Source organism: Homo sapiens, chromosome 6 (assembly GCF_000001405.40).
Source record: "Homo sapiens chromosome 6, GRCh38.p14 Primary Assembly".
Taxonomy (NCBI): domain Eukaryota; kingdom Metazoa; phylum Chordata; class Mammalia; order Primates; family Hominidae; genus Homo; species Homo sapiens.
Genome location: NC_000006.12, coordinates 43,744,406 through 43,756,615, shown reverse-complemented (window position 1 = coordinate 43,756,615; position 12,210 = coordinate 43,744,406).

Genomic DNA, 12,210 nt, shown 5'->3' with positions numbered 1-12,210 from the left:
AAAGAAAATAATAAAGGTAAATACTGTCTGGGATCATATCCCTACTGTGTGCCTTATGTTATCTCATTAATCCCAACAATAGCCCTGTGAAGTAGATTACAATTATAAAACAAAGGCCAGGAGAGTTTAGGTAACTTGCTCACAGTCATACAGCAAATAAGCAATAGCGCTGGGATTTAAACTCAACTCTCTCTGGCTCCAAAACCAGCACTCTTAACCACTATGGCTTGAATACAAGAATGAACAATCAACAAACCAAAATTTCCTTTCTGTACTCAAAGAAAGAAAGAACCAAAAAGCAAGCAGATATCAGAACTTCAGTCAAATGCTTTCAAGGTTTCAAATCAGAATCTGTTGGGGTTCAAGTTCAGAATGTTCTGCTGTTCATATTGAGACCAGAGCCCCCACCTGGTCATTACACCCAGATGGTCTCAGAGGCACCCAGAGGGTCCTGCCTTACTCAATAGGGTTTTAGACCATTTTTTCAACAAATGGGGTTGAAAAAATATTCATCCCAGAGTGAGTCAGAAAAATCACTTACTTTGTTCAATTCCCAGAATGTTCCTGTCGACCCTAGCTCTATTTTAACTTCTGTAGGAGAAACTTTTATTTGCTCTCCATTTGTTTATTAACAATTTGGCAACTTTTTGATAACTAAATGGACAACATTGGCCAGTCAGCCATATTACATGGAGTAACTACCAGAAAACCACTCACTGACTCATTTTCACACATACTCCCATCAATCCCCAACTGTTACAATAAAATGTTGTCAAGGGGAAATGTATCCCCTTCAGGCCTCCGTTCTCCTTTGCCATCTTCCTTTTGCTGCTGTGGCATTAAACTGCCTTGGAATCTCTACATTACATTCCCCTCTCTGTGACTCAGTGTCCTTACCTGGGAAATGAGGATCATAAGACCACCAACTCTACAGGGCCGTGGCAAGGATCCAACCAGGCAATGTGTAGAAAACACAGCGACTGGCATGGAGGGAGAGCAGAGGAAATATTTGGGGCTTTAGGTGCTGTCATTTCAAGCCTGGTAAAGATGCCCAGAGGCCTGACCCTCTCTAGCTGTGGGAAAACTGCTTCTCCCAGCACGCTTTCCTACCTGTCTCCTAGGATCCATGTCCCTGAAAATCAGCCCTCACTCACTACTCTCTCGTCCCTCCAGTCACACCCCAGCCCCTCAAGACTTAGAATCATCAAACTCCATGACTAAGAAGGCAGTGAGAGCTCATCTGGCTCAACTTTATTTTTTCTGAAAGGAAAGGCAAAACTCTGCAATGTAAATGGTTTGCCTCTAATCACATATCATTTGCTTCTAATTCACCTGCAAAATCCTATACATTCAAAAAGTGGACCCTACACACCTAGGCCAACAAAACCAAATTTGCTCATAGCATTTTTGGACTTTACTTCCCCTTATGAATTGATCTTAGACTTCATTATACACCAAACAAGGAAATCAATTTCTTAATTTGGTGCCACACCTTGTTTTGGACCAAAAAAAAAAAGGTGCTGCTATTACCTACTCAGTTTGCTCAGTCTCCTGGGTCACACACCTGGGCACTAAACAACTTTTGGTTATTTCCACTTACATTTAGTTCCCAAGGATTAAGTTTTTTGTTTGTTTGTTTTTTGTTTTTTTGTTTTTTTTTTAGAAGGAGTCTCACTCTTTTGCCCAGGCTGGAGTGCAATGGCGCAATCTCGGCTCACTGCAACCTCTGCCTCCCGGGTTCAAGCGATTCTCCTGTCTCAGCCTCCCAAGTAGCTGGGATTACAGGTGTCCACCACGTTGGCCAGGCTGGTTTCAAACTCCTGACCTCAAGTGATCTGCCTGCTTCGGCCTCCCAAAGTGCTAGGATTACAGGTGTGAGCCACCACACCTGGCCAGGATGAAGTCTTGACATCATTGTGGAATATTTTTAACATGATAAAGGCTACGAAAGCAGCTTATTTGTTTGTTTATCCATAAATTTAGTAAATATCTATTGATACTTCCTTATATACCAGGCCCTGTGCTAGGGGATGGAAATGGCACAGTAAACCAGACTGACTCAATTTCAGAGCATACCTGATCTGTTCTTTCAGTATGATTACATGGAATTGATAATAATAATAATAGCTGGGCACAATGGTGCACACCTGTAGCCCCAGCTACTCCGAAGGCTAAGGCAGGAGTCCAAGGCTGTAGTGCATGAAGACTGTGCCTATGTATAGCCCCTGCTCACCAGCCAGGGTGACATAATGAGACCCCCAGCTCTAAAAAATAAAAAATTTAAATTAAAAAAGCATCTAAAAATAAATTAAAAGACTTCCAGGAAAAATTGGCAGCCTGAACTCTTACATCTAATTTTCTTGTTCCTGAATCTCCACTTTAGCAAAGTTAGCAAAGACACTAACACTGGGGGCAAAATGAAACATCCCAGCCAGGTCACCCTAGTGTGAGGCTCACAGAACCACACCCACATACACAGACTCACATATGCACACACATCTACACACATACATACATATACTCACATACACAATCACATATACACACACCTACACACACATGCACACACACATACACACATACGCACACACACCTACACACCCACATACATACACTAGCATACACAGTCACATATACACACACACATGCACACACAGACACACACATACACACTCACATATGCACACACACCTACACACCCACATGCATGCACTCGTATACATACTCACATATACACACATACCTACACATACATAGTCACACACCTACACAGCTTCCAACTAGCTTTACAAATCTCCACACCTAAAAATAAGCAAACAACTGAGAATTATGAGACATTTGAGGAAAGCTTCTAACACAAAAGACAGAGGCCAAAACAAATAAAAAAGTGACTTGAAGGAAGCTGAGTCTACATAGCGTGAAGAAAGCTTAAAAATAACAACACATTATTATCATATCCTGTGAATGATAAGAAAAAATATTGCAGAGATGAAACAAAAACAGAACAGTGTTTTTTAAAAAAACAGAATAAGAGACAGGTCTTAAAAAATCAAATGTGATAGCAGAAATAAAAAATTTAGTGGAAATTTGGAAGATAAAGCTGAGGAAATGTCCACAAAGTAGAGAGAAAATAACAAAAGGATGGAAAGTTACAAGTAACTAAGCAATAAAACTACAGGACCACTCCAGCAGAGACAACAACATCTAAATAACAGGAGAAACAGAGAAACTAAGGGAAAGACATCCTTAGTGACATAATCTAAGAAAATTTCCCATAACTGAGGAATCCTTGAGAGCCCAGTGCAACAGATAATATTTTTAAGTATTATTTTTAAATTTCAAGTTCCAATGGTTCATTGCTCATATTTAGGAATATAATTGATTTTTGTATACCACTTTTGTGTCTCACTACCATACTAAATTCATTTATTAGTTCTAGTAGCTTCCTTGTAGATTCCATCAGACCTTCTATAGGGTTGATCATGTCATCTGCAAATAATGAAAATTTTACTTCTTCGTGTCCTATCTGAATGCCTTGTATTTTTCTTGCCTTATTACATTACAGTGGTTAGAGCCTCTGGTACAATGTTGAATAAAAGCAATAAGAGTGGACATCCTTGTTCTATTCTTTTTTTTTTTTTTTTAGGAAGGGAGCCAAAGGCCAAAAGCCTACAGCACCCAGTATTCCAAGGTGGTCTCCCATCCAAGCACTAACTAGGCCCACCCTGCTTAGCTTTACAAGATCAGATCAGATGAGATCAAGCACATTCAGGAGAAAATATTCTATCTTTTCACCATTATAGTTTTTTTTTTTTTTGGTAGAGGCTTATTATCAGGTTGTGGAAGTTCCTTTATATTCTTAGTTTGCTTAAGTTTTAAAAATCAGAAATGCATGTTGTGTTTTGTCAAATGTATTTTCTACATCTATTGAGATGATTGTATGGGTTTTTCTTTTTAATTTGTTAATATAATGAATTACATTGAATTGTTGAATGCTAAACTAACCTTGAATTCCTAGGATAAGCTCTACTTGGTCATGATGTTATTAGTGTACATGTATATACACTAGTACATATATATATACTAATACACATATAGATGATACAGCATACTACATACCTAGGCTATGTAGTATAGCCTATTACTTCTAAGCTACAAACCTGTATAGCATGTTACTCTACTAAATACTGTAAGCAATAGTAACACAATGGTAAGTATTCATGTATCTAAACATTGAAAAGTTGCAGTAAAAATACAGTATTATAATCTTATAGAATCATCATCATACATAAGGTCCATCATTGACCAAAAAATCATTATGCAGTGCATGAATATGTATATATAGTATGTGTATAGGTGATAGAGTTCAATTATATTTACATGAATTTGGTGTAGAAATTTTTCATCTATACTCATGAGAGATATTGGCCAGTAGTTTTCTGTTCTTGTAGTATCTTTGTTTGGTTTTAGCCTTATCTGATGAGTTGGGAGGTATTTCTGCCTCCTGAATATTCTAGAAAAGTTTGTATAGAATTATTATTATTTCTTCCTTAAATGTTTGGTAGTATACATCAGTAAAGCCATCTGGGCCTGGATTTTCTTTGTGGAGAGGCTTTCAACTGCAAATTCAGTCTTTAAAAAATTACATATAAGTCCATTCAAGTTATCTGTTTCTTCTAGATAACCTGAATGGAGTGGAGTGGCACAATCTCAGCTCACTGCAACCTCCACCTCCCAGGTTCAAGCGATTCTCATGCCTCAGCCTCTCAAGTAGCTGGCATTACAGGCGTGCGCCACCACACCTGGCTAATTTTTGTATTTCTGTATTTTTAGTAGAGATGGGGTTTCACTATGGTGGCCAGGCTGGTCTCCAACTCCTGACCTCAGGTGATCCGCCCACCTTGGCCTCCCAAAGTGCTGGGATTACAGGCATGAGCCATCACGCCCTGCCTCTGTTTCTTCTTGAGTAAGCTACCATAGTATGTGTCTTTGACAGAATTAGTTCATTTCATCTAAGTTATGGAATTTATTGGAGTAAAATTTTTCATAATATTACCTTCTTATCTTTTTACTATCTATACAGTCTGTAGTCAATCACAGCTTTCATTCCTGATACTGGTAATTTGTGTCTTCTCTTTTTTTCCCGATCAATCTGGCTAGAGGTTTATCAATATTATTGATTTTCTTGAAATAACAGCTTTTGGTTTTATTGATTGTCTCAATGTTCTTCTATTTTCAACTTCATTATTCTCTGATATTTTTCTTTTTTTAGACAGAGTCTCGCTCTATCACCCAGGCTAGAGCGCAGTGGTGCAATCTCGGCTCACCACAACCTCCACCTCCCAGGTTCAAGCAATTCTCATGCCTCAGCCTCCCGAGTAGGTGGGATTACAGGCACTTGCCACCACGCTGAGTTAATTTTTGTATTTTTTAGTAGAGTTAGGGTTTTGCCATGTTGGCCAGGCTGATCTCGAATTCCTGACCTCAAGTGATCCACCTGCCTCGGCCTCCCCAAGTGCTGGGATTACAGGCGTGAGCCGCCGCACCTAGCTACATTTTTCTCTGATCTTTATTATCTAATGTCTTCTCCTTACTTTGTGTTTAACTTGCTCTAGTCAAAGGTTTTTAAATTCATTAAAAATGTTAAACTATAAAACAAAAAGTACAGAAATAATTTTTCATCTGATTTGTGCTCTAAAATAAACTTTTCATTTCAAAATTTCTCAGTCTGAAAACACATCCAATCATTTATTCATCAAATATTTATCGAGCACCTACTATGTGCTAGGCACTATTCTAGGCACCAGAGATAGTGAATAAAACAAAGGTCATGCCCTCACTGACCTTATATTCTAATTGGAGATGCACAACAAACAGATAAATATATCATAAGTTCAAATTAATTATGTAGGCCAGGCGTGGTGGCTCATCCCTGTAATTCCAACATTTTGGGAGGCCGAGGCAGGTGGATCACTTGAGGCCAGGAATTCAAGACCAGCCTGGCCAACATGGTGAAACCCCGTCTCTACTAAAAGTACAAAAATTAGCCAGGCGTGGTGGTGCACGCCTATAGTCCCAGCTACTGGGGAGGCTGAGGCAAGAGGATTGCTTGAACCTGGGAGACGGAGATTGCAGTGAGCCAAGATCATGCTACTGCACTCCAGCCTGGGTGACAGAGCAAGACTCCATCTCAATAAAGAAATAACCACTCACATACACACACACACAAATGGACTATGTAATTTGTTGTTGTTGTTTGTTGATTGGTTTGAGACGGAGTCTCACTCTGTCACCCAGGCTGGAGTGCAGTGGCGTGATCTTGGCTTACTGTAACCTCTGCCTCCCGGGTTCAAGTGATTCTCCTGTCTCAGCCTCCAGAGGAGCTGGGACTACAGGCACACGCCACCACGCCTGGCTAATTTTTGTATTTTTAGTAGAGATGGTATTTCACCATGTTGGCCAGGCTGGTCTTGAACTCCTGACCTCAAGTGATCTGCCCTCCTGAGCCTCCCAAAGTGCTGGGATTACAGGCATGAGCCACCATGCCCGGCACTGACTATGTAATTTAATAAATAAATTTATTTTTTAAAAATAGTGTTGATAAATGCTATGCAGACAAATAAAGCAAGGTGAGGGGATAGAGACTGAGCAGGTTTTGGGGGAAGGGGCTGTTTCTATTTTAGATGAGGTCAACAAAGGGCTCATTCTGAGTAGAGATCTGAAGGAAATGAGGGGGAACGCCTGGAAATATCTAGGGAAAGGGCATTCCAGGCTGAGACAGAAGCAAGGGCAAATTCCCTGAAACCAGAACATGCTTGTCTTTTTGAGGAAAAGTAAGAATGTCTAAACGGCAAAGGAGAGAGGTAGCTAGGGGCCAAAACATGTAAAGCCTTATAGGCCACTGTAAAAACTTCATATTTAATTCTAAGTGTGGTAGGGAGAATTCTAAGATGACCCACCAAAATCCCCTGCTCCTTGGTTTGCCCCTATACATAATCCCAGGACTGTGAATATGATAGGTTTCACCCCCGCAGTTAGGTTGTTCCATGGCATAGGTGACTCTAAAAATGAGATTATCCATGGCCAGGCCTGGTGGCTCATGCCTGAATCACATGAGCTCAGGAGTTCAAGACCAGCCTGGGCAACATAGTGGGACCCCCTCTCTACAAAAATTTTGAAAATTAGCCAGGTGTGGTGGTGCACATCTGTGGTCCTAGCTGCTCAGGAGGATGAGGTAAGAGGATCACTTGAGCCCAGGAGTTCAAGGCTGCAGCAAGCCATGATCACACCACTGCACTCTATCCTGGGCAACAGAGTGAAACCTTGTCTCAACGACAACAAAAACAAAAAGAACTCAGTTCAGCTGACATTTTGATTTCAGCCTTGTGACACCCTGAGCGAGAAGCCCACTCACACTGTCCCTGACTTCTGACCTACAGAACTGTAGGCTAATCAATAGGTGTTATTTGGAGGTGCTAAGTTTGTGGTCATTTGTTGCACAGCAATAAAAAAGCTATTATGTTCTATATGATGGGAAGTCATAGATACACAGACCCTTTCTTATGAGTTTGACTTTAATATCACCCTAATTAGAGAGTAAGCTCCCTAAAGGCAGAAACCAACAGTCTACATGTCTCCTGCACTAGACTGCGCCAGGCACCTAGTGGACACACAAGAAATATCCCATAAATAAGTAAAAAATGTGTTGAACAAAGGCGAGCTCTTTGGAAAACTTGCCTGGCCTCTTGTACTGACCACTTTGAAGGACTGCTGATATTTGTAGAAGTTCTTTCAGAAAAATTGCATTCTGTGTATGCACAGCTTGCCTTCAGTCCTGCCTTGTTTGTGGTGGGGCATGGGGTAGGACGACCTCTCTTTAAATGCAGCATGTTGCACCAGAACTCACCTTCCATTCAAACATGGCTCCAACAGACTTCCCTTTCTGTTGCCACCATCTTTGGGGGACCCAAGTTCTGAACCTTGGGCTGATGCTCAATTCCTCCTTCTGTTACCCTCTCCATAGTCAGAGTCCTGGAGATTGATTTTCCAAAATGCCTTTCTATGAGTCCTAGCATCTGTGTTCCCACTGCCATCAGCCTATCTGAGGCCTCTCAGCTCTCACCTGCGTGATGGCAAAGGGCTCCCAGCAAGCTTCACCATCTCTTCTGCCCTGTGCTCAATCCACCTTGGTCACCACCACCTGGCTAATCTCCCTTAGATAACACTTGGTACATGTAAGCCCTTCCTCTAAAACTTTCATAGGCTCATCATTGCACACTCAAGTGAGCGGGGTGCCCCATAGTGAGCTGTGAGCATCTTGAGAGCAAGGGCCAGGTGTTTAATGTCTTTGAGGCATCATTGGTGTTCAACATCCATATGAGGCTGTTGATGGCAATGGTCATGACCATGAACATGAGAAGGATGTCTTTTCTTTTAGGTCAGAGAAGACAGCTGGTCTGTTAGTCTTCCAGGCTTTAAAGACTTAACCAGCAGTAGGGGAAAACTATGAAGTGTGTCCACTCTTCTCTTTAACCCTCTGCCCCCAACTCCTCCCCATCCCTGGGAATCTTGGCCAGCAAGCCTCCCACCCCTGTTACTCCATATCAATGTCAGCTGTCAGATCTTTTGTTCATGCCGAAGAGGTTTCCTTCCCAAGAGTGTTTGCAATTTCACAAGGAGATGACCGTAAAGGAGGCAAATATTAATGGTAGGGTTTCACGTATCAGCTGCTGGGTGGAGTGAGATGTTTGGACAGGGATATAAAGCTTTGCTCCTGCACCCAAAAACATGTCCCCGCCCATGCAGCAAGACTGATGTTAATAAAAGCATAGCATTGAACACATGTACCCTCCCCCGACAGGTGGGGACGGAACAAGTCCACGCGGTAGGCAGGATCTGGAGTAGGCTGCTGAAAAGCTCCAGCCAAATGATGAAGAAGAAATTCAAGAGAAGTTGAATGCCCTATAGATCTTAGAAAAAAAGAACAGTTTAGAAGCACAGGAAAAATTGCTATGCCTTTGGTCTTTTTTTTTTTTTTTTTTTTTTTTGAGACCGAGTCTCACCATGTTGCCCATGGTCTCAAACCATGGCCCATGGTTGCCCAGGCTGGTCTCAAACTCCTGGGCTCAAATGATTCTCCCACCTTGGCCTCTAAAAGTGCTGGGATTACAGACGTGAGCCACCACACCCAGCCAACCTTTGGTCATTTTTATGTCCCCATCCTCAATACCAACTCTGAAGAGAGTGGACCCCTTTCCACAGGACGGGCCCACCCCCAGGCGTGGACCATAGGGAGGAAGAAGCAGCTTCCAGACTCAGGAGCCCCTCCATCTTCCTTTTGTTCTGTTCTCCCTGCTAAAGTGTTGGAAGGGGAACTTTTGCACCCCTTTCCTCCCCTGAACAGTGGCTCACAGCTTCCTGGGCCCAGGGAGGGGAAGCCTGTGATGGGGGTGAGGGGGGACATGGAAAAGGAGGAAGGGAGGAAGCTGTGCACAGCTTGGCGGGGGGCTGGCCCTCTGGCATCCTGGGGGAGTCGTCCTCCTTAATTGCTTGAGTTCTACAGCTGTCATTGCTAACGAGAAATTAAAAAGCACCCTGACCCCTGCCCCAACTCCTGCCCTCATGGCTCACAAGTGCTCCCTCAGCACGTTGCTCTCAGAAGAGCACGGGCAGCGGAGCCGTGGAGACGTGGGGAAGCCTGGAGCTGACCGCTCCCAGCCCCCCAAGGGAGGGGGCAGGATGCCAAATTAGGGGAATGGGAGTCAGTCCCAGGCCAGCTTCTCCACTCCTCCTGCTACCGTCAAGCTCCACGTTCCTGGACGCCCCTGATTTTACACATCCTGCCTCATAATCCCCGCAGCTCTTCTGGGACTTGTCAGACCTCAGGCCCAGATTTTGGGGGTTGGGAAACAGGGTTCCTGGAACTGCAGATTGAAGATTTACACTGAGCTGCCCTGGGCCCAGCGAGCAGTGATGTAAAATGCAGAGAAATGAAGAGGGGATGGGGAAAAACACACAGCAAGAAGGATCTTCGTGTAGGGAGGAACTTCCCGGCTGTCTCACACCACATCCAGAGACGACATCTCCTCTCTAAGGATAAGGATTCTCTGCCTCACATGGTCCACCGGAACCTGTGTGGTCTGGCTCTTGCCTGCCTCTTCAGCCTCCTCTCCCCACCCCAGAACTCAAAGCCAGACACTAACTTTGCTCTCAGAAAGGACTTCTCAGCACCCACAGATTTCAGCCATCAGCACAGCTCCTTCCTGTCACTTACCTCCCCCTCCTCCCCCAGAGACCACTGAATTTTCACAAGCAAAACACTGTGTTCTAATACATTCCCTTCCCATTCTTCACATGTGCCCTCCTCCACACACACACACACGCACACACACATACACACACACATATACACACATATACACAGTTCCATACAGTACAGTGCTGCATTTACATGGTGGAGTCACGTACCCAAGTAGGGGACAATATCTCCCAACAGACCCTAGTTATTTGACTTTAAATTATAATGCTGTCATGAACATCTTTGCTCACATAGTCAAGTGAATAATATTCCTGAATGCATTTGCTATTTTTCTTTCAAACTTATGTAGATACTATGGAGATCAATAATATGTGATAATTTCAAATTATTTCTAACTTCACCACAGTTTGTTGTCTTCATGGATTTTTCTCAGATGATGAATATCTGTTATACAATCACTGTCTTTTGGAGTTCTCTGAAGGTTTTGTTTTTGTTTTTGTTTTTTAGTGTTAAAATAGGGTTTTCCAGCTCAAAATGTTTGGGAATCACTACCTGAAATCAACCAGCCATTGCCACACACACACAGTCCCCAAATCAAGCTAGTATTCTGTTCTGGTAAATCTTAAGTAAGTCCATTTTTGCATAAGTCAGAGTTGTTTCAAGTGAGAATATAAATGAAGCAGGTGCCCGCTTGGCAGCAATGTAAACAGAGGGAAGAGCATGGAGACTGGGTAGTGAGGGTGCCCCCAGCTCTCCTTGCCTGCAAACAAGGGTTACTTCAGAGCAAAGGAGCCCGATACACACACTTACACCCCGTCAACCAGTGCACCCGGCAAAGCTGGTGGAAAAGCCTGACTCAGGCCGCGTTTACCTAAGTCACCCTTACGTAAGCATGCCTATAAAGATTTTGGAAGGTACAAGGAGAAAAGTAAATAGCTGGGATTATGGGTATGAGTTTAATGTGGGGTTCCTGATATTGCAAGACTGCTTGAAAAATAATTTAAGTATACTCAAAATTAAACTTGGGCACAATGCTTATATGTGCCCAGCCCTGTGGAGGGGTTGTCAGATAATTAAGAGATGTTATGAGACGGCCTCTGCCTTAATGAAGCTTACGATCAAGTTGCAGAGAGGAGCTCTAGATTCGGCAAAAGCAGGCCTGCCGTCTACCTCCCCTTCGGCTGGGCCGGGCTGGGCGGCTGTTGGCTCACTCTTAACACCCTCTACTCCCTCACAGGTCCCATTGCCCCCTAGCCAAGCCCTCTCCTCATACTGTCCCCAGCTCATCCCCACAAAGGAGCGGCCTTCTTCGTGTTTGGGGCATTCCTTTGCATGTCACTGATATTCACAGCTATGGCAATGTCAAAAGGTACCCTCTCCTGGGTTCCCCTCCTCCAGCTCCCTTTCATGCCTCCCCAGTATTTCTGGGGGACTCTGGTGTTTCTGACTCCTATCTCTCCCCAGCCCTCCCCTCAAAACACAACCCAGAGGAACTGCCACCACCATCTGCATGTTCTCAGCAATCAGTCCTCCCCCAGCGCCTGTCCCCAGAGCTGGGAGGGGGCAACTGCTGAGTCAGCCTATTCCTCACATTCCCTCCCTTCTCCCCTGCCGGCCAAATGCCACGGACCCTGCCTCTGAGTGACGGACCTCAGCTGAAAGGCTGCCCCTCTCCACCCTGACCCCAGCTCAAGACCGGCCTTCCTCCCTCACACCCCAGCGGGAGGCCCAGGAAGAAGGTCATGCTGCCCACACTCCATTGGAGCCCTGGCCGGACGTAGGGCTGGGGTGCCATACCACCCCATCTTCCTCCCTCATTCCAAGCTCCATCTCCCTAACCAGCCTCACTCAGAGGATCTGATCAGGAAAGGACAGGGAAGGTGATGGAAAACCAAAAGCAAACCCTCCCCACACAATACACACATACACACACACACGTGTGCACACACACA